Source organism: Homo sapiens, chromosome 11 (assembly GCF_000001405.40).
Source record: "Homo sapiens chromosome 11, GRCh38.p14 Primary Assembly".
In the NCBI taxonomy this organism is placed as follows: Eukaryota; Metazoa; Chordata; class Mammalia; order Primates; family Hominidae; genus Homo; species Homo sapiens.
The window spans coordinates 59,852,048-59,876,261 of record NC_000011.10 but is presented as its reverse complement, the minus strand read 5'-3'; the positions used below and the strand labels follow the sequence as shown (position 1 = coordinate 59,876,261).

The 24,214-nt window shown below is 38.3% G+C and overlaps 1 protein-coding gene across 1 annotated transcript, besides 1 other annotated feature; it reads left to right on the top strand.

Moving 5' to 3' along the window:
* Positions 3,059 to 3,259: a silencer, noted in NCBI's record as "peak1283 fragment used in MPRA reporter construct". NCBI's record gives its function as "represses an SCP1 promoter by STARR-seq MPRAs in K562 erythroleukemia cells {active_cell/tissue: K562}" and the evidence as "EXISTENCE:reporter gene assay evidence [ECO:0000049][PMID:32103011]".
* On the top strand, positions 9,775 to 23,454 carry TCN1 (transcobalamin 1). The gene is made up of 9 exons (NM_001062.4): positions 9,775 to 9,870; positions 12,176 to 12,355; positions 13,540 to 13,680; positions 14,580 to 14,735; positions 16,995 to 17,185; positions 20,204 to 20,393; positions 21,427 to 21,610; positions 22,941 to 23,059; positions 23,226 to 23,454. Exons 1-9 carry the CDS (start codon positions 9,792 to 9,794, stop codon positions 23,285 to 23,287), a joined length of 1,302 nt encoding a protein of 433 aa, NP_001053.2. The 5' UTR covers positions 9,775 to 9,791; the 3' UTR covers positions 23,288 to 23,454.
* Positions 23,455 to 24,214: the final 760 nt, after the last annotated feature.

The window sequence follows — 24,214 nt, the reverse complement described above, 5'->3', positions numbered from 1 at the left end:
GCTTGGGTCACTTTGACTTTAACCCCAGATGTTTACATCCCCACGGCACTCCTGATTTCCATGGAAGGCCCCTCTATCATTTACTTTTTTCCTAGTTTGCTCCTGTAAAACCTTCTAATATTTATCCAATGAGATTATCTACCGGTATGTGTTATTAATTTGTCATTTGGCTTAAGGATCTGAGGTTCCTTTCAGCAAACATTTTGATAACCTCTTACATCATAGGCATTTTTTATGGTAGCGTGGAGGACACAATAGTGAACGAGAAAGGTGTATCGCTGCCTTTGAGGAGTTCACAGTCAGGCAGGGAAACAAACATTAAATACACACAGTTAAGAAATAATTCTGCAAAAATTAATTGCTATTTTCATAAGTGCTGCAAACGAAAGTACAGAATGTCAAGAAAGTGGCTAACAAATGGCCAGAAAGTACTTGTTCTTAGAGATCACATTTCAAGTCTGGAGTTTTATTTGAAATGCAGTGGAAGGCTTCAAGGATTTAACCAGGAATGAGGATTTTAAAATATTTTTTAAAAACATCAGCACAATAACAACATATCTCTGTTGCAAAAGAAAATTCAAAACTTCCATTGTCTTGGATTAAAAGTCTTAAGACAGTGTATTTCAAACTGTGTTCCTCAAGAATTCCTTCTCTAAATGTGGTCCATATATGACTCAAGTTGGAGAAGTGCTGCTGTAGGAGCTGGGGGGAGAATGGCTTGGAGAGGGCTACAAGTGAATAGTAACACACAAATGTGGAAGCTATTTCGGAGAGGGCAAGAAACTGGAAATGCTGATCAGATTATTGGCAGGGAAGGCAGGGTGAGACAGACTGGTCCCAGAAGGTAGAATGTGTCACTCTGGTTGGTTGGTTAAGTGATCAAAGGAGACAGAAGTATCAGGCATAACAACCAGACTTTGGGCAGGTATAACTGAGTTGATGGTTATTAGTGAGACAATAATAGCCATCAATTACGTACTGCTTATTACGCACCAGGTACTACTCTAAGCACCCTCCATATATTAACTCATTGACTCCTCATGAAAACCTAGGAGATAAGAACTATTTTCTACATTTTGGAGACCTAGAGAAATTAAAGATTTATTGAAGGTCACAGAGCTATTAAAATGGCAAAGATGGCTATACTGATAAAGAAGTAAGTTTGCAATGGAAAACTAAGAATTCAATTTTGGATATGCTGGTTTTTAAATTGCAATAAGACATCCAAGTAGAATTACAGAGAAGGCATTTGGCTATAAGTTGAGACTCAAGAGAATCTAACATAAAAGTGAAAACTGGGAAAATATTAGTCTATTTGAAGGTTTGAATGTGGGTGAGAACACCTAGAGAGAGTGTGTAGCATGAGAAATAATATAGGTACAAAGCTCTGAGGTCATACAACATTTAAAGTTTCAAAAAAGATTGGCAATGAGTACAAAGAAGGAGTCAAAAAAAAACTGGGAGAAAAATTACGGGGCTGAGAGTTGATGATATTGCAACAGAAAACGTGGGGAAAATGTATCTAGAATTTGAAGGAAGAATCAACTATATTCAGTGATTTTTAAGAATTCAGGTAGAAAATACAACCCACAGAATGGGATAATATTTGCAAATTAGGTATCTAGAATATACATAAAGAACTCTTACAGCTCACTAATAAAAAGATATATGGAAACCCAATTAAAACAATTAGTTCTGAATAGTTTTCTCTTTAAAAAAGATGCCAGGTGTGGTGGCTCATGCCTGTAATCCCAGTACTTTGGGAGGATGAGGAATGCAGATCACTTGAGGCCAGGAGTTCAAGACCAGCCTGGCCAACATGGCGAAACCCTGTCTCTACTAAAAACAAAATACAAAAATTAGCTGGATGCAGTACCACACGCCTGTAATCTCAGCTGCTTGGGAGGCTGAGTTATGAGAGTTGCTTGAACTCAGGAGGTGGAGGTTATAGCTAGCTGAGATTGTGCCACTGCACTCCAGCCCGGGCAACAGAGCAAGACTGTCTCAAAAAAAAAAAAAACACGTGTGTGTGTGTGTGTGTGTGTGTGTGTGTGTGTGTGTATTTGTATATATATTAGATATATACAAATATCCAATAATTTCATGAAAAGATGTTCAACATCATTAGTCATTAGAGAAGGTAGAGACAATGTTACCAAAAGACCCAGCAATTCCACTCCTAAATATACATGGAGAGAATTGAAAATGTCCATAGAAAACTTGTAAACAAATGTTTATAGCAGCATTGGCCAAAAAAAAATAGAAACAACATAAATGTCCATCAACTACTGAAAAGAGTCAGGTATGGTGCTCACACCTCTAGTCACCAGCACTTTGGGAGACCAAGGTGGGCAGATTGCTTGAGCCCAGGGTTTCAAGACCGGCCTGAACAACATGGTGAAACTCCATCTCCACAAAAAATTCAAAAATTAGCTGGGCACTGTGGTGCATGCCTGTAGTCCCAGCTACTCAGAGGCTAAGGTGAGAGGATCACCTAAGCCTGGGAGGTCGAGGCTGCAGTAAGTGGTGTTTATGCTGCTCTCTAGTCTGGGTGACAGAGGGAGCCCCTGTCTCAAAAAAAAAAAGACTACTACCAAATAGATAAATAAAATGTTATATATCCACATAATAGAATATTATTTGGCCATTAAAACTGAAGTTCTGGGCCGGATGTGGTGGCTCACACCTGTAATCCCAGCACTTTGGGAGGCTGAGGCAGGTGGATCACCTGAGGTCAGGAGTTCAAGACCAGCCTGGCCAACATGGCTAAACCCCGTCTCTACTAAAAATATAAAAATTAGCCGGATGTGGTAGCGGGCACCGGTAATCCCAGCTACTCAGGAGGCTGAGGCAGGGGAATCACTTGAACCCGGGAGGTGGAGATTGCAGTGAGCCAAGATCTCACCCTTGCACTCAAGCCTAGGCAACAAGAGTGAAACTCCATCTCAAAAAAAAAAAGAATGAAGTTCTGATACATGCTACAACATAGATGAAACTTGAAAACATTATGCTGAATGAAAAAACTAGTTACAAAAGACCATATATTGTATGATTCCATTTATATGAATGTCCAGAAAAGGCAAAGTATAGGGACAGAAAGTAGATAAGTGGTTTCCTAAGACTGGCAGGACTGATTAGTCACTGCTGATGGGTATGAGGTTTCTTTTGAGGTGATGAAAATGCTTTATCATTGATTATGGGGTGATAGTTTGCACATATTTGTGAATACACTAAAAACCATTAAACTATGTACTTCAGTTCAGTGAGATGCCAGAAATTTGTGGCCAAAGGCTAAGAGAGATAAGAATTTAGAAGGAGATTTACTATGTACAATATTAAATTGCCTCTAGAACCATCATTAGGATTGGATCCCATTATGCCCCAGGGAGACAAGTACAAAATCTGTTCCAGCTCACCTGGCCTCTTTCTTTCCTGGAAAGCCCAGAGAATACAACCTTAACTAGACATTAACATATGAATTAGTAAAGGGAAGTTGTTGGGATTGACAGTGAAAGATTTAGCCATTGAAATTATCTCAGTCACTATAATGTGATTCCAGATTAGCCAAAATTAGATGGCAGTACCTAATCATCAAAGACAAGTTGTAGAAATTACCATAGCTGTCTACAGAATCAGAGTGACAATAGAAGTGCTTTGATCCACAGTGATTTATGACATCATCCAACAAAACATGAGGTAACGGGGAATGAAATAGATGGTCAGCTGATTAAAATATTGCTTGAACTATATAACTGGAAAAAATTCTAAGTATAGTGTATTATTTTTCTACTGCCACATAAATAACTACCCCAAGACTTAGTGGCTTAAAACAATCTTTTTCTCACAAATCTATGTGTAGTAGCTTGGGCTAGCTTTAGCTAGGCACTTCTACTGGTCTTGGCCAGTGTTATTCATGTGACTTTAGTCATCTGGTAGCTCAACTAAAGCTAAATAATCTAAAGGCATTTCATTCAATGTCAGGTAGTTGGCAGCCTACAGCTGGCATGTTTCAGTTCTCCTCTATATGACCTTTCTAGAAGGTCACAGCTATAACAACTAGAACATGAGCTCAGTTTTATACACATTGTGGATCACAGAATTCAAAACACAAAACCCAAAGCAGAAGGAATTTTTAAATTTCCACCTATTTCATATTTGCTAACTACCTCTTTCATATTTGCTAACTACATCTTGACCCAAGACAGTCACATGACCAGGCCTCAATTTAAATCTAAATTTAGAAAGATGTTCTATATGAAGATATAAATTTTAGAAACACTAGCATATAGGTGTCATTTAAAGCCTTGGGATTAAATGAGAGCAACATAGGAGAATGAAGAGTTTTAGACACTGAACCCTAGAAGATTGCAACATTTAGAAGTCAAATATATTAGGAGAAAGTAGCAAGAAAAGGCCAAAAAGGAAGAGTCAGAAAAGTAGAAAAACTCCAGAAAAGGATGGTGTTCCAGCCAAATGAAGTAAGAAAAAGAGAGTAATCAACTATCAGTTCAAGTAAAATGAGAATTTAGAATCACTGTTGGAAGCAGCAAAGTAGAAATGACTTGTTAAAAACAAGTTTTAGAAAAATATGTAATAGATACACAAAACTTCAAGAGAAAGGAATTGAAGCATACAACTACAAAGTCATCAAATCACAAAGAAAGCAATAGAAGAAAAAAAGGAAAAAAGAACTATAAAACAGTTAGAAAACAATTCACAAAATGGCAATGGTAAGTCCTAACTTATCAAAATTACTTGAAACTTAAATGGATTAAATTCTCCAATCAAAAGACAGAGTGGTTGCATGAATAAAAGACAAGATTCTTGGCCAGGCGTGGTGCCTCATGCTTGTAATCCCTACACTTTGGGAGGCCGAGGTTACAAGAGACAAATAAATTGTTACAAGAGACAAAGAAAATCATTATATAATGATAAAGGAGCCAATTCATCAAAAAGATATAAAAATTATAAATATTTATGTACCCAACATTGGGTGCTTAAAGCAAATATTAACAGAACTAATGTGAAAAATAAACAGCAAAACAGTAACAGAGGTGACTTTAATACCCCACACTCAACAATGGATAGATAATCCAGACAGAAAATCAATAAGGAACTACCATATTTGAACAATACTTAGACCAAATGGACCTAACAGACATATACAGAACATTCCATCCAACAGCAGGGGAGTACACATTCTTCTCAAGCACATATAAAACATTCTCCAGGATAGATCACATTAAGTCACAAAATAAGTGTTAACAAATTTAAGAATATTGAAATTATATCAAGTATCTTTTCTGACCCCAATGGTATGAAACTGGAAATCAATAATGTGAGAAAAATTGGAACATTTACAAATACATGGAAATTAGATAATTCACTCCTGAACAATCAAGGAGCCAAAGAGGAAATTAATGAGGAAGTAAAAAGTATCTTGAGACAAATGAAAAGGTAAACTCAATATCTGAAAACATATAGGATACAGCAAAAGCAGTACTGAGAGGAAAATTCATAGTTATAAATGTCTAGATTAAGGAAAAATAAAGATTTCAAATGAACAAACTAAGTTTAAACATTAAGGAACTAGAAAAAGAATAATCTAAACCCAAAGTTATCAGAAAGAAGGAAACAACAAAGATCAAAGCAGAAACAAATAAAATAGAGAATAGAAAAACAATGGAAAAGATCAACAAAACTAAAAGTTGGTTTTCGGAAAAGATAAAAAAAAATCGACAAACCTTTAGCTAGACTAACCAAGAAAAAAGAGAGAAAACTCAAATAAGTAAAATTATAAATGAAAGAAGTGAAGACATTACAACTGCTATCACAGAAATACAAAGAATCATAAGAGACTACTATGAACAATTATATGCCAGCAAATGGGATAACCTAGAAGAAATGCATAAATTCCTAGAAACACACAATGTGCCAACAATGAATCATGAAGACATAGAAAATCTGAACAGACCAAAAATATAAATAAGGGGACTGAATCAGCAATCAAAAACCTCCCTACAAAGAAAAGCCTAGGACCAGATGTTTCACTGGTGAATTCAACCAAATACCTAAAGAAGAATTAATGGCAATTCCTCACAAACTGTCCCAAAATATTGTAGAAAGAATATTTCCAAACTCATTTTACAAGATGAGTATTACCCTAATACCAAAGCCAGATAAGGACACTACCAAAAAAAAAAAAAAAATCACAGGCCAATACCCATAATAAACATAGATGCAAAAATCCTCAACAAAATACTAGCAAACCAAATTCAACAGCACATTAAAAAAAAAGCAAAAAAAAAAAAATCAATCAAAAAAATTTAGCATCCTTTCATGATAAAAAAAAACTCTCAACAAATTGGGTATAGAAGAATTCTACTACTGAGCCATTAAAAGGAATGAAATAATGTTAATAATAAGTGAGAAAATATTTTTTTTGGTTTTCTACTCCTGTGTTGCTTAGAATAATTGCCTCCAGCTCCATCCAAGTTGCTGTGGAATATTTGAGAAAATATTTGCGAACCTATATCTGAAAATAGATTAATATCCAAAATATGTAAGAACCATGCAATTCAATAGCAAAATGAAAACAAAAACAAAACAAATAACCTGATTTTAAAATGGGCTAAGGACCTCAACATTTTCCAAAGAAGACATAAAAATGGCAAACAGGCATGAGAAAACATGCACAATATCACTAATCATCAGAGAAATTCAAATCAGAATAATCACATCACCTTATACCTGTTAGGGTGACTATTATCAAAAAGACAAAAGATAACAAAGTATGGATGAGGATGTAGAGAAAAGAGAATCCTTTGTGTTTGCAGAATGTAAATTTGCACAACCATTATGGAAGACAGTGTGGTGGTTCTTCAAAAAATTATAAATGGAACTGCAATATGATCCAACAATCTTAATTCTGGGTACATATCCAAAGGAAGCAAAAGCAGTGTTTCAAAGAAATATATGTACTCCCGAATGGGCACGGTGGCTCACGCCTGTAATCGCAGCACTTTGGGAGGCTGAGGTGGGTGGATCACCTGAGGTCAGGAGTTTAAGACCAGCCTGATCAACATGTTGAAACCCTGTCTCTACTAAAAAAAAATAGAAAAGTTAGCCGGTGTGGTGGCAGATACCTGTAATCCCAGCTACTCTGGAGGCTGAGGCAGGAAAATCACTTGGACCCGGGAGGTGGAGTTTCCAGTGAGCTGAGATTGCACCATTGCACTCCAGCTTGGGCGACAAGAGAGAAACTCTGTCTCAAAAACAAACAAACAAACAAACAAACAAACAAAAATATATATTATATAAAATATGTACTCCCATGTTCATTGCAGCATTATTCACAATATCAAAGACATAGAAACAACCTACATATCTGTTGATGGATGAAGGGATAAAAATTGTGATTTATATACACACACACATATATGTGTGTGTGTGTATATATATATTTATATTTATATAATAGAATAGTATTCAGCCATAAAAAAGAAGGAAATAGTGCCCTTTGAGACAGCATGGATGAACCTGAAGAATATCATGCTAAATGAAATAAGTCACAGACAAATACTATGATCTCATTTATATGTAGATTCTAAAAATTATCAAATACATGGAAACAGAGAGTAGAATGGTGGTTTCCACATAAGTTTTATATAAATATGTGAGAGAGAGAAAGAGATTTATTCCAAGGAGTTGATTCATGCCCTTATGGAGGCTAAGAAGTCCCACAGTCTACTGTCTGCATGCAGTAAAAGTCAGTGGAGTGATTCAGGCCAAACTGAAAGCCCAAGAACCAGGGGAGCCGATGGTGTAAATCTCAGTTTGAGGGCTGGAGAAGATAAGATGTCCTAGCTCAAACAGGCTGGCAGGAAGCAAAAAAAGGGTGAATTCCCCCTTCCTTCACCATTTTATTCTATTCAGGGTCTCAATAGATTGATTGATGCACACCTACATTGGAGACGGCATTCTACTTTCCAGAGTCCACCAATTAAAATGCTAATCCTATCTGGAAACACCCTCACAGATACATCGAGAAATAGTGTTTAATCTGGGCACTCAGGTGCCAGTCAAGTTGACACAGAAAATTAACCATCACAGAGGTACAATGCAAATAGTGGCTCATTAAGTCATGACATCCTTAGCTAGGCTGACAGTATTCTCTAATAGTTCTCAGAAGAACTGTGATAGGCAACACTTCTCACATGTAGCAACTGCCCTGGCAGGGCAGAAATTCACATTTGATGTATAGCTCTCTGGTTTTCCTCCTTGGTTAGGAAACTCTCATGGAATCTATCTTAGGAGAAAAATCATAGTTTGGAAACCACTATGCCAAAGATCCCCTCATGTGCTGGGTTCTCCAATACTGCCTGCTTCAATTTCAGACTTACAACTTTTACTTCCGTTTTTAAATTTTTTTATTTCAATTTTTGTAGGTACATAGTAGGTGTATATATTTATGGGGCTCATGAAATGTTTTGATACAGGCATGCAATGCGTAATAATCACATCATAGAGAAGGGGGTATTCATCCTGTCAAGCATTTATCCTTTACGTTACAAACAATCCAGTTATACTATTAGTTATTTAAAATGTACAATTAAATTATTATTGACTATAGTCACCCTGTTATGCTACCAATAGTAGGTCTTATTCATTCTTTCCAATATTTTGTACCCATTAACCCTCCGCATCTCCTTCCCACCACTAGCCTTCCCAGCCCCCAGTAACCATCTTTTCATTCTCTATCTCTATGAATTCAATTGTTTTGATTTTTAGATCCCACAAATAAGTGAGAACATGCAATGTATGTCTTTCTGTGCCTGGCTTATTTCACTTAACATAATTATCTCCAGTTCCATCCATTTTGTCACAACTGACAGGATTTCATTCTTTTATATGGCTGAATAGTACTCCATTGTGTATATGTACATTTGCTGTGTTCATTTATCTGTTGATAGACACTTAGCTTGCTTCCAAATCTTGGTTATTGTAAACAGTGCTGCAACAAACATGGGAGTGCAGATATCTCTTCAATATACTGGTCTTCTTTCTTTTGGGTATATAGCCAGCAGTGGGATTGCTGGATCATATGGTAGCTCTATGTTTAGTTTTTTGAGGAAGCTCCAAACTGTTCTCCATAGTGATTGTACTAATTTACATTCCCACCAACAGTGTACAAGGCTTCCCTTTTCTCTACATCCGTGCCAGCATTTGTTATTGCCTGTGTTTTGAATAAAGCCATTTTTAGCTGAGATGAGAGGATATCTCATTGTAGCTTTGATTTCCATTTATCTGATGATCAATGATGTTAAGCACCTTTTCAAGCACTTTTTCATATGCCTGCTTCCCATTTGGATGTCTTCTTTTACTTCCATTTTTATATGTTGTATGTGTTTGCATGATCAAATCTACTTTATCAGGAAACATAAAACATAAAGTGAAACGGAAAAAAAAGGAAAGATTATAGGAAACAGTCATTTGCCTAATATATCTTCACTGCACGGAAGGCAAATAATAGATATGAAACCCGAAGGTTTAGGACAGGAGACAAAGGAAAGTTATTGCCTTATTCTCCCTAACCACATCCTTCAAGTCTTCTTCCTTATTTATTACATCACATGGACAAATACACTTGACCACACCTCCTGACATTGCTCAATATTTGCTTGAGTGAAAAGAGGCTGAGGCAACCTGAAGGAGGAGCTCTCATTACCTTCTGCCCATCACTTAATAAATAGCCAGCCAATTCATCAACATTCTGGTACACTGTTGGAGAGATGAGACAGTCACACCAGCTGCCCCTAGTGGGGCTCTTACTGTTTTCTTTTATTCCAAGCCAACTATGCGAGATTTGTGGTGAGTAAACTTTGAGCTAAAATTACTCTAGAGTGATAGTCTACTGAAAACTGTTGACAAGAGACTCTATGTAGAGTTACCTGAGAAAAGATCCCATTCCAGTTTCGTATGTGGTTGGACTCCATGAATGATGAAAAGGGTGGCAGGAGATGGTGAGGAAAGTCTCACAATGCATGTTGTTGTAAGAGGAATTATAGATTGTGTATTCACTTGCCTAACTGCTCTTTCTATGCTCAGATCCTCTCTAGCACAGCATCCCTACCAAGTAACTCCCTATTCATGTGACTTTTCAATGACAGAAAATTTATGCTCCCAGAAACTTTTCTAGATCATGGAAAGTTATCTTTTGGTCTTGATATGCAATCTTTTTTCCCTGAAATTCAATGCATGATTTTTGGGTTAACCCCTTGTAACTACATAGAAAAAAATAATAATCTCTTTCAAATAGTGATGACTGCTGTCTTGTCATGAGTGAGTTTAGATGTTCCAAGTTGCATGTCCACCTTCCTTCAACTCTTTCCCAGGACACATGGGATAAAGTTCCATCATCTCTTGCATGGGTGTTGACCCCAGAGATTGTGTGGTTCTGTAAAAGAACTTTAAAGTAAGAGAAGGGAAAACTAAATTCAGGTTTAGTTTGATCCCTTAGTTATTGAATGACCCAACATTTCTGAATTTCTTTAGCTTCATTCATAAATAAAGGATAATGAGGGGAGACTATTGAAGCAAATTATCTCATGAAGTCTGGTGCAGTTCTCAAGTGCATGAATTCTCTTTTGTGAGACTTTACTCTGAAATTGAGCTTCAAACCAGTCCAAAGATTACTAGGTGGTACTATCTGTGCTCTCTAACCAGTAAGAAGAGAACACCACAGAAGACAGGCTTGTATACATACAGGCTAAAGCATAGACTCTTCTGACTCTGATTTTTCTTCTTGGCTTGACATTTCCCCTGTTGGATCCTAAGAATAGGGAATGGCTATGTAGGTTTTAGCTTTCAATTCATTTTAAATAATAATGATAATAATTAAATTTATCTTTGAGACTCAAGGAAGCTGATTTGAGTTGTTGATCAGGAACTAAAAAGTCTGTTTCAGGGCCAGAAAATCTGCTGAGCTGGATGGTTCCACAAAATCTCAGAGAACTGACTCACAATTGTTCCATTGTGTCTGCAACAAACCATGACCTTTCTACAATCACTCTATTCAGATCTTCTTGACTCATTCTTTTAAAGTAAAGAAAACTGGGCAAGAGAAATTACATTTCCTTGATTCTCAAGTATAGTGATAAAAACTCCAGTTGAGCTGGAAATAATAGTATGTGCAGCATTTTACAGTTTATTCGGTGGTTTCTTGTCCAATATCTGTAAGGTAAGTGTTAACAGCCACAATTTTTAAATGAGAAAACTAAGAGTAAAACAAGTTACATAAGTTATTATCCACAGTCATAAGTTAAGGAGCACAAAATGTGGCCAAAATCTGAATCCAAACCTCATGTTCTTCTCACTCTCCCACTAATCCATTAGATAATCTGGAGATATGTAGGATTTGGGGCTACTCCTCAAGATTATGGAAAAATACATTGACAAAGTGTCCTGTGTTTAAATAAATAGTAAATCTTTTTATTCTCCTCTATTTCCTTGGGAGCTATGGATTTTCCTACTTCCACAGTATAATGTGACTTCCCTCCATCTCTGGAATTGGGGCATATTGTAGGCTAAAACTGGAGAGTTTTTTACAGGCTGCATAATGCTAAATAATGATCTCGATGCCCAGCCAGCTGGGTAATCAGACAATGAAGTTTTGGGGTCAATCACCAGTATAACACAGAATTATTACCTGCATTTTCTCAACATTAACCCAGTTGATTTAGAAGATGGAGAAGGAAAGAACTGAATCCAGGAAGTAGAAAGTCCTGCTTACTGAGAGTCAGAAGACATGTAGTCTAGTTTCAGCTCAGCCTCCAATTATGGAAGTTTCTTTAAGGACAATCTATCTAAGCTTCATATACAAAATTAGGGAATGATGCTAGATTTCCCAGGCAGGAGTCTGCCAGTACACAATGATAAGTCTGCACCAGTTGTTAAAATATTAAAACATTTTCATGTTGGTTGTTAAAGGAGTAATGTCTGGCATGGGGGTGGGTTCAAGACCCACCTTTGTATTATTCCACCAACACAGTCTGCAGCCACTGGATTGGTCTAGGTCTGTGCCATATCTGTTACTAAATATTTTTATATAACCCCTGCTGCAAGTCTTACTATTTTCTGAGTATGTGTTTCTTATTTCCTTCCTTCTCTGCCACAGAGGTAAGTGAAGAAAACTACATCCGCCTAAAACCTCTGTTGAATACAATGATCCAGTCAAACTATAACAGGGGAACCAGCGCTGTCAATGTTGTGTTGTCCCTCAAACTTGTTGGAATCCAGATCCAAACCCTGATGCAAAAGATGATCCAACAAATCAAATACAATGTGAAAAGCAGATGTAAGTTGCTGTATATTCTGGAAGATTTAGAAAAAAATCTACCTATTTAAAGATTATCTGCAACTAATCCTAAAAAATTATGCATCCAAAGTATCCCTGCTACATCCCTTCTAATGGTACCAAACTTGAGGTAACAGAAACATGCCCAAAATACAATCCCATGCCATTCACCCTAGAGCTAGGTCTTGCTTCTTTTGGTCTTAAAAACCACTTTTCTTCAAGAAGCCACAAACAAAAGCTATGGATTTTTATCCATTAATGCTGTTATATAAGCTAGCTTAGTTCACAACCACATGGGAATACAGATCATAACTAAGAAAGCTGGTGATGGAAAGGCAACCATGGAACAACCCAGATTTGAACTAGGTATGGGTGGGCCTTGAACCAGTCATGTTAATACTGAGCCTCAGTTTTCTAATTAGTATAAGGGGAAAAGAAGCCACTCTTACCTACCTCATAATATTATTATAAGAATTATGAGAATCCTGAGAGTTTGGATACTCTAAAAGGCAGAACATTAAAAATCAAGAATTACTATCCTAGCAAGCTGGTACCACAAAGAAAAAAAAACCCAAGATCTTGTTGTTTATCTATTTTTCCTCTTTTTCACTTTCATAAGGATTGTATGATTCCAAAACGATTCTGTGATTTTTATGGAAAAGACAAAGATTTAGTTTGCATTTATACAGTACTGCTCTAAAAGGCTCTGCTTTGAGGATAAAGAAGAGAGGAATCAAATATTCATACAGGAATGCATCACATAATGATGAATATATATGACGGTGGTCCCACAAGATTTTAATAGTGTATTTTTATTGTACCTTTTCTGTGCTTGGATATGTTTAGATACACAAATACTATTGGGCTACAATTGCCTATAGTATTCAGGACAGTAACATGCTATACTGGTTTTTAGCCTGAGAGCAACAAGCTGTACCCTATAGCCTAGGTGTGTAGTCAACTATACCATCTAGGTTGTGTAAGTACACTCTGTGATGTTTGCACAATGACAAAATCGCTTAACAACCAGTTTCTCAGAATTTATCCCTATCATTAAGCGACACAAGACTGTATAGAGCGCAACAGAAGAAAAAAGTGATAGGCAATATAAGTCTCAAGGAAATCAGGAGGCCCAAAAAATCACAAGCCTGTACCTTATTAAGCTTGAATACTTTTCTTTTCAGTGTCAGATGTAAGCTCGGGAGAGCTTGCCTTGATTATACTGGCTTTGGGAGTATGTCGTAACGCTGAGGAAAACTTAATATATGATTACCACCTGATCGACAAGCTAGAAAATAAATTCCAAGCAGAAATTGAAAATATGGGTAAGAATTAAATATTTAGAGACCCTAGACTACCTTGTCTTCTCCTCCACTGATTCAAAACTATATGAAGTTTCCCTCCACTCTTTCCTTCTCTTCATCCCGTTCATCTCACTATGTCTTTGAGGGCACTTCCCTTTTTCTCTTTCAGTATGCATCTTGAATTTTCTTTTTAAATATGTTCAGCTGAGCATTGACCCTATGTCAAGTACTACTTTACATATGATGGCAGAAACACACACACACATACACACACACACACACATGCACACACACAAGTCACCATTCTCTAATCGTCCAGGAGCTTGGCTTTAAGTCAAATGATGAATTACACCAGAAATAGCTGAACAATACAGGATACAGTGTCATAAGTACCAAAATATACAATGCTAGTATATGAGCTAAAGGTGGCCAGAGTACATTATCACTGGGAAAAATCAACCGGCCATGGTGGCCACTAGTGAGGTGCACTGTTTTTATTTCAGTTCCCACCCAATATTTATTCTATTTTTCAGTAAGTCCATTTTCCTTTGAGATGGCCTCTAACCTAGGTTTCTACTTACAGTTTCAACACCTTACTATTGAAAACGCAAGAGGCTTGGAGGTTGAAAACCTGTATTCTGGCCCTAACTCTGTAACCATCTGAATATCTAGATAGCATCTTAATCTCTTTAAGACTGTGTCCCCTCAGTTATAAAATGAAAGAAATTGAGCGGAATTTAGTGGCCCTTAAAAGCCCTCACATTTCTCAGGTTTTCTGATTCTATGGGTGACCTCCCCCTTCTATTAGCCACCTTTCCTTAAATGTAAAGAAATTAAAATAGAGTAAGTAGGAATAGATGGAAAATGCATACGCCATTACCACTTCCATGATTAAGGGAGGTATTTCTTCTCTTTTCTAGAAGCACACAATGGCACTCCCCTGACTAACTACTACCAGCTCAGCCTGGACGTTTTGGCCTTGTGTCTGTTCAATGGGAACTACTCAACCGCCGAAGTTGTCAACCACTTCACTCCTGAAAATAAAAACTATTATTTTGGTAGCCAGTTCTCAGTAGGTGAGTTACTAAGCCCAATTCCCTTGGTACAGAGGACATGGTCACCAGTAGGTCTTGCTCTTTGAGTTTTTCTACCAGTAAGTACCTGGATTTTATTTTCTACCCTCTTTGCTCTAGTCCCCTCAAAAGGGAATTTTCTTTTTGAGAAGAATGGATGATGGATGGCATTTAAGCTTCTTTCTAGATGTGTGGTATAGTAGAAATACCCGGTTTCTGCTCCAGCTCTTCTTTGGGTTATATAAACAATGAATGTTAACTCTTGATCTTAATTTTTCCATTTGTAAGATGAGGATAAGGCATGAGAATATCCACATGAAATATTTTAGAAAGGGTAAGTTTTAGAAAAGGGAAATGCAATGGAATTCGTTTATCTTAACACTGTCTCTTTCTCTAGTTTATTGGGACAATTTGGATACCTCGAGAGTCTTGAACAATACCACCTCTCCAGTGACAAAGTCCAATATTTTAATCAATAGATTGTATATTCACCTTGGGAAATGAACCAGAAATTTCCCACTGTGTCAGCCTTAATATCCATAAAGAAGTCTTTAGACAGTTAGTATAGGTGCTTAGCCTCTATGGATCCAGATATACAAGTTCATCTTTCTCCAAATTCAAAGTTCAAATTGAAGTTCAAAGCAAATCACCATGTAGTATTTCTGGATAGTAAGGAGAATGTGAGATTTCTCAGACTTCTTTTCCCATGAGAGAGGAAAGGTCCCATGCTAAAGAACACAGGAGACACCAAGTATCAAGCCAGAAAACGTGTCCTTATCTTTCCTTCTTCCAGTCTCTTGCCTCATCCTCTTTTGTAAAGAGGTTTACTGGGCAACAACTCTGTAAAGTACTATTTTCTAATCAGTCTAATGAAACCCTTGAGAGCCTTACAAAGACAGTTTATTTGATTCAGCCTCTTAGGTTTTCTCAATCCCTCAGCCAACATGGCTAAAAGATTAGAGAAAGATGGAAAAGATGAGAGCAACCAAGATGTAAAAGTGAAATACTGTCCATGTGTATGCACCTACAAATCCATAGGTGTTTTATGACCAAAATATGTGTAAAAAAAGAAACCCAGAATTGTATTTAAAAAAAAAAAAAGGCAGGGTGCAGTGGCTCACACCTGTTATCCCAGCACTTTGGGAGGCCGAGGCGGGTGGATCACCTGAGGTCGGGAGTTCAAGACCAGCCTCGCCAACATGGTGAAACCCCGTCTCTACTAAAAATACAAAATTAGCTGGGCGTGGTGGCTCACTCCTGTAATCCCAGCTACTCAGGAGGCTGAGGCAGGAGAATCACTAGAACCCAGGAGGCAGAGTTCGCAGGGAGATCGGACCACAGCACTCCAGCCTGGGCAGCAAGAGCGAGACTCCGTCTCAAAAAAAACCAAAAAACAAAAAACAAACAAACAAAAAACACTCCAGACAGCAGCAAGAGAGCTTTAGAGATTCGTGCTACATCCCACCCTAAACTGCTTTTAAGCTAATTTCCTGGCTTTTTACCTGCTATGTGTGTGTGATGGGTCTCTTTTCCTTGGCAAGTTCTTAGATGCTTTCCAGGATGTTTGGATTCTCAAAGACACCTGTTCCTCAGCTGGGCTCCATGGCCTGGGCTTCAGACAGTTCAGGCAGCAGACATATCTTTGCAGGGCACTTCCCTTTTTCTCTTTCAGCATGCATCTTGAATTTTCTTTTTAAATATGTTCAGCTGAGCATTGACCCTATGTTAAGTACTTCTTTACATATGATTGCAGACACACATACACACACATACAAGACACCACTCTCTAAACCTCCAGGAGCTTGGCTTTAAGTCAAGATGAACTATAGCAGAAATAGCTGAACAACACAGGACACAGTGTCATAAGTACCAAAATATACAATGCTAGTATATGAGCTAAAGGTGGCCAGAGTACATTATCACTGGGAAAAATAAACTGGCCATGGTGGCCACTAGTGAGGTGCATCTCCCTTAAGTAACCTTAAGTGGGAGACCCATCGCACTACAGTATGAGGTATGAACTATGGAGTACATGGCAACTGAACATTGGGAAGAAATCTTTAAATATTTGAGTGGTTAGTGCTGGAGAGATGATTGCTGTATCTTGAAATCTTTCTTCACCAATTAGCATGACCAACCATCCCAGTTTTTCTAGATCTGTTTTTCTTTTAGCACTGAAAGTCTCACATCCCAGGAAACCTCTCGGCCCAGGACAAACTGAGGTGGTTGGTCGCCTATCAACAATGTTTTGTTTCCTGACAGATACTGGTGCAATGGCTGTCCTGGCTCTGACCTGTGTGAAGAAGAGTCTAATAAATGGGCAGATCAAAGCAGATGAAGGCAGTTTAAAGAACATCAGTATTTATACAAAGTCACTGGTAGAAAAGATTCTGTCTGAGAAAAAAGAAAATGGTCTCATTGGAAACACATTTAGCACAGGAGAAGCCATGCAGGTAAGTCAGAGGGTGAAACAGGAGGCAGAGAAGGGAGTCTTCTCTGGAAGAAAGCAGTATTTTTTTTTTTTTAAGATGGAGCTTCGCTCTTGTTGCCCAGGCTGGAGTTGCAATGGTGCGAGCTCAGCTCACTGCGACCTCCGCCTCCCGAGTTCAAGCGATTCTCCTGCCTCAGCCTCCTGAGTAGCTGGGATTACACCTGCCTCAGCCTCCTGAGTAGCTGGGATTACAGGCATCCACCACCACGCCCGGCTAATTTTTTCTATTTTTAGTAGAGACAGAGTTTCACCATGTTGGCCAGGCCGGTCTCGAACTCCTGACCTCAGGTGATCCACTCACCTTGGCCTCCCAAAGTGCTGGGATTACAGGTGTGGGCCACTGCGCCCAGCCAGTATCTTTTTCCTTTCTTATTGGCCTCCTAAGACCTTATTATACATTCTGCGGTTCCTATACTAACTTTGATTTTGCTCATACGATTCCCTTCCCCTCCCTGACATGTACTCTTCTCATCTTCAGCTTTACTTCCCCATAGCCAATGCTTCTAGGAAGCTTTTCCTAACTACAATTTCTCTAAGAAACTCTAGAGTCTACTACAATCTGCTTTCTTGTTCTATCACACGTAGTTTACACTTTCACACACACAGTAGTCCCCCCATTATCCACAATTTCACTTTCCACAGTTTCAGTCACCCAAGGTCAACTGAGGCTTGAAAATATTAAATGGAAAATTTCAGAAATAACGCATAAGTTTTAAATTGTGCATAATTCTGAGTAGTGTGATAAAATCTTGCACCTTCCCGCTCTGTTCCACCCAGGAAGTGACTCATCCCTTTGTCTATGCTTGTTAATCACTTAGTAGCCGGTTATCAGATCAACTGTCCCAACATTGAAGTGCATGTGTTCAAGTAACCCGTATTTACTTAATAATGGCCCCAAAGCACAAGAGCAATGGTGCTGTAATATATTATTATAATTGTTCTATTTGATTATTGCTGTTGTTAATCTCCTACTGTGCCTAATTTATAAACTGAACTTTATTATAGGAGTGGATGTATAGGGAAAAAACATAGTATATTTAAGGCTCAGTACTATCCATGGTTTCAGGCATCCACTGTAGGTCTTGGAATGTATCCCCCGCTGATAAGAGCAAACTACCCCATCACCTCCATTTCCTAAACTAGGAGCATGAGTCACAGTAACTGTGTCAGTAATCTAACTAATCTCACAAAACCAGAAAGTGGTGTAGATTGGGATGGGACCTGGGCTGTTGTTCTCAAAACTCACACTCAGCACCTACACTGTCGTGCATATGCTCTTTGAGGTCTGAGACTTTATTCCTGCATTCATTCAGCCATTGATTTACAAACTCTAAGGGGATGATATAAGAAGCGATCAAGGAAGGTTTACAGAAAAAAAAAAAACTTTACTGCATCATCAGTATGAATAGATATTTTCCAGGCTGACTCAGGGCTAGAGGACTTTCAAGGGAGAGACGACAGTGAGGACAAAGACCCAAAAGCACAAAAGAATGTTAGGCATTTTAAGGTCAAGGTGTTCGGCATGACCAGCACAGAGTCCTTGGGAAACATAACAGGAGGCTGGAGGTGTAAGCACGGGTCCAGTCATAAGGTTATCTGTATTGTTGTTGTTACTATTTATGTTGTTGATTGCCTTACTAAGTTTGAACTGAATATAAACTGCTTTCCCATTTTCATTGCATATTTGAATCACCTGAAGGAGCTCTTAGAAAACACTAATACCCAGGCCCACACCAGCCAGGTAGTACAGAAATTTAGAGGTGGAGCCTGGGCCTTGCTCTGGTTTAAAAGCCCTACAGGTGATACAAATTCACAGTAGGATCAAGAGCTAATTGCCTACAACACATTGTTGGGTATTTTTAAATATTAATAACATTTAATTTATTGTTATGTATGTGAATAACATTTATTGACGTGTCTTAAGAGGAAATGTACTATGACCAGTTTTTCTTTTTTCTTAATATCCCACAAATGCTTGTGGACAACTTGGTTAGCTTAAGAACCTCCAAGAAAAGATGAAAACAGGAACTGTCCATCCCTGGGAAACTACAGAGCAGCATGTTCAAGTCCGACCCACCTTAGTTCCTGTCTTGCTTACCCCAATGCCCTCCTAACTTTTACTACCTCACAATTCTGCCCCTTCAATCAAGCTTACATTCTGCTGCCAGGAGAGTTTCTGTTTAATGAACAATTAGACTCCCCATTGTCAATCAAATAATGTCAGACACCTCCTCATCGTTGTCAATCAAATGAGGTCAGACATCTCATCATAAAATTCAAGCATCTACTAGTCTAGCCCAACTTCCTTCTCCAGCCTGTTTTTCCACAGTTGCCTCCAATGTTCCCCATACATCAGTTCTCCTAAACCAGGAGGAATCCCCTGAGGAACTTTGCTAAAATGCAGATACTGTCATCATTGCCAGGTCATGTCCTGGCCATTCCTACCTAACACCTTTGTTCATGTTGTTCCTCTTGAGTGCTCTATCCTACTCTCCAAGGCCTAACTCAAATACCACCTTCTCCAGGAAGCTTTTTTTTTTTTAGCTTCATTAAATGTTTGTGAGCTCCTCTCCTCTTTTGAAAGAGGCATCCCACTAGATGCATCCCTTAGGGCATTCCTCTGGCAACTCCTTTTACAGTAGTTTGTTAATATTTATTGAGTGTCTCCTATATGACAGGTATTTCCCAGCACTGGGATACAGAAATGAATGTGGCAAAGTCTGCCTTCATTGGAACTATTATAGCTTGTGTTATTAAGCAGTTCCAACCTCCCTGCCCAAACTAGTTTATAAGCTTCTGGATAACAAGAAAGATAACTGAGTTATCTGAGGTGCTTCCTAGGTAGTCAATGTTCAATTAATACTGAATTAGTTACATATATAGTTATAGATAAGGCTTCCCCCTTATTTGAAGTGTCTCATATTCTCTCTCTGTCTCTCTTTATCTCTCATCACCCCCCCACCCCACCCTGCCTCATTAGGCCCTCTTTGTATCATCAGACTATTATAATGAAAATGACTGGAATTGCCAACAAACTCTGAATACAGTGCTCACGGAAATTTCTCAAGGAGCATTCAGCAATCCAAACGCTGCAGCCCAGGTCTTACCTGCCCTGATGGGAAAGACCTTCTTGGATATTAACAAAGACTCTTCTTGCGTCTCTGCTTCAGGTATAAGCATTAAAGAGAGCACACTGTTTCGCTTTTCACCATAGCACCCAAAGCATGTGAGATTCAGGTGTCCTTTGAAACCAAAAGTGACCAGATAAACCTCCAAAACATAACAGTTGCCAGAGAGAATTCAGTTTTCCTCATGTTACCAGGGTTTACAGTCACCTGAGGATTTGTTCTTAACTGAGTGCTAGATGTCCCTCTTAGTTCAAACATTAACAAGGCAGACCTGATTAAATAATGTCTATCTCCAAAGGTGTATTTTCTGACTGTTGGATATAGAAGGATCTGAGCATCATTCTCATCCTAAATAAAGTATGGAGTATTGGTACCGTGACTCTGACTTTGCACAGTGAGTGATCCCTTAGGGAAATGAGACATCTGTGTGGAAGTGATATGCCAGTATTCAAAAATTGTAGCATGCATTACTTATTCAAAAAATGACCTTGCAACCAGGTAGAAGGAAAGGAGACATTGTCTTATATCTCTGTCCATTCCTGGTTCAGCCACTCACAGGTTTAGGAAACTTGGACAAAATGTTTAACCTCTAAGCTTCAGTTTTCTAATGTAAAAGTTGGGAACAAGGACAGTACCTAACATAGGTTTTTGTAAAGATTGAATGAGACAATCCATGTAAAATGATTAGTATAGTGCCTGGCAATTCATATGTTTTCAATAAACGTTAAGCAATAAAAAGGAGAAAAGACAAGCATTATTGTATGCTGTACCAAGGCAAAAAAAGAAAAAAAAAATCAGGATCCTCTGTGAGAAACAGAAGTTAGAGCAACTGAATTGCTTAAACAGCTGGGAGTTGAGCCAAGTGCCAACATTCACAAGCTGGTGAGTTTGGGTCTTAGTTTCTGCTTTAGTTATATGAGAAATTTGCCCCTTGAGTGATGATAATTGCTCCTTATAGTAAATCCGTGTCTGCATAAAGGCAAGGAGTCCTTGGATAGGGGTTGAGTAGGTCTGCAAACTCTAATATCATTTTTATTTTTCTGAATATTGCTCTGGGCTTTTCTGTCTCTGCCAGGTAACTTCAACATCTCCGCTGATGAGCCTATAACTGTGACACCTCCTGACTCACAATCATATATCTCCGTCAATTACTCTGTGAGAATCAATGAAACATATTTCACCAATGTCACTGTGCTAAATGGTTCTGTCTTCCTCAGTGTGATGGAGAAAGCCCAGAAAATGAATGATACTATATTTGGGTAGGTCTGTACCTAACCTAAGGTTAAGATGTTTGCTGTCATTTCTAAAGATGCAGTAAGAATGCATTTGCACCTAAATACAAAGTATATTTAAAATGCTTCTGGGTCAGTAGCTTTGCTGTCCATCTACATCTCACAGCAGGAGTTTAAAATAGGAGGTGAGGTATTTCATCTTCTTGCACATAATAGGTAGTAAATTAATGTTCGCTAAATAAATTAATGAATCTCAGGGCTCTCTCTTATTTCAGTAAAATTCTTGCAATAAATGTAACTTCTAAAGTCAAACATTTGAGATCTAGAACAGTGGTTCTTAACTCTTTTTGAATCACGGACCCCTTTGAAAATCAAGTGAATGTAATGAATGTTCATCCAGGAAAAAAATGAACATACACACAAAAATTGGCATTTGTTTATTTATTTATTTTACAGACAGCATCTTACTATGTTGCACAGGCTGGTCTTGAATTCCTGGGCTCAAGAGATCTGCCCACCTCAGCCTCCCAAAGTGCTGGGATTACAGGCATGAGCCACTGCCAAATTTAGCATTTCAACTGAGGGTTTCACAGATACCCTGAAGCTTCTCCCTGCCCTCGCTTTCAGAAAACTCATAGATCCCCAAACTAAAGTAACTGGTCAAGGAGGTCAAGTATTAAAATTAAAATAATGGCTTTGCCTCTGAAAAGTATGACTTATTTGGCTCCTTAACTCTAGTTGACAGTTATTTATCATATCTAACAACACAGTGTAGGATGCTATAAAGAAAATCAGAATAATAATATAATATACATTATAAAGGCTACCCTCAAGGGCTTTAAGGGAGGTAGAAAAATGACTACGGAATATAAAACAGATACTGACCTGTCACTTTTTAATAAACACAATATGAAATATCAAATTATCCTTTCCTGTTCCTCTTTTCTAAGGGAAAACTCAGTAACTTATGGTGTCTCTAGCACATGAGGATCATATGTTCTTCTACTGAATCAGTATCTTTAGCAGTTACTATCTTGGGGTGGAAGGTTGAAGCTGTTATCTGAAACCTATCTACCATGGCAGGTGGGGAGAGCAGAAACCATGAGCATCATTTCTCTAATTTAGCATGGAGTGTGGAGTGCCTGCATTAGAATCAGCTGGAGTGTTTATAAAGCATGCAGATTCCTGATCCCCAGCTCATATCTAAAAATAAAAATATCTATGGATAGGGCCAGGAAATCTGCATTTTTATAATGTCATCAAGTGATTCTCAGGTACATTAAAGTTTGAGAAATGCCTATTGTTGGTTTCCTTTGACAATTCTAAGTTCCAGTAACCTACTTGCTGTCACCCACAGTTTCACAATGGAGGAGCGCTCATGGGGGCCCTATATCACCTGTATTCAGGGCCTATGTGCCAACAATAATGACAGAACCTACTGGGAACTTCTGAGTGGAGGCGAACCACTGAGCCAAGGTAAGGGAGAGACATGCCAAAAAGACCCATGCTAAAAATGCCCAAATGGAGAGGGGTGTGAGCCTCTGTGGGGATTGGGCCAAGGGGTTAGTAGAGATGACATCCATTATTTGGTGATTTAGTGGCCAAATCATTTGACCCAGTTCTCTTTCTTCTTCCTTTTCAGGAGCTGGTAGTTACGTTGTCCGCAATGGAGAAAACTTGGAGGTTCGCTGGAGCAAATACTAATAAGCCCAAACTTTCCTCAGCTGCATAAAATCCATTTGCAGTGGAGTTCCATGTTTATTGTCCTTATGCCTTCTTCTTCATTTATCCCAGTACGAGCAGGAGAGTTAATAACCTCCCCTTCTCTCTCTACATGTTCAATAAAAGTTGTTGAAAGATTAACAACTATACAAAAAGAGCATGTTCTAATTAGTTCATTCTGAAAGGATTTTAAAATGTATTAGAGGAAAGTCCACCTAAGGAAAAACTGAAGTGAAAAGAAATGAGACCACATGTCTAATAAGCGGGGTTCTACTCAAGGTTCTCCTACTAACTATCTCAGTGGCATTGGGCAACTGGGTAAAATGGGGATAAGGTTCTAGGTCTAATGTTGCAGCAACAACCAATGAGATCAAGCAGAAAGTCTGTGAAAGACTGAGCTCTCTGAGGCCCAGATGCAAGAGAGGAGCCCATTGGTCACACTGATTTCATACAGGTAGTGGGTAAAAAAAACATGTTGCTCAGAAGAAAGGGGGAAACGTGAGGCATATACATAAAAGGTCTGCCCGTAGTTTGAGAAACAATCTCATCCCCTGCCTCCAGATGTCTCCCTTGGGTCCCACTTATTCTTCTCTTACATTTATTTTCCCTTTATTTCCCCATAAAATCACCCCAATATTCATGTCATCAAAATACATATGCAAAAAAGTCACTTATCATGTTCATTTCCACAGAATTCACTTTTTTCCTTTTTTATTTTTCTAATCAATTTTTGTCATGCTAAGAAGTCACGTCTTAAAGGAAAAAAGTTGAATCACATCAAGGCAGCATGAGCTTGTACTTATACTGAGTACCTGGGCTACATGCAGTACAGTCAGAAACTAGAAGGACACTTAAGATACCAAAGGACAAAAGGTACTTTATGTAAAGTGTAAAGTAACCCATTTAAAG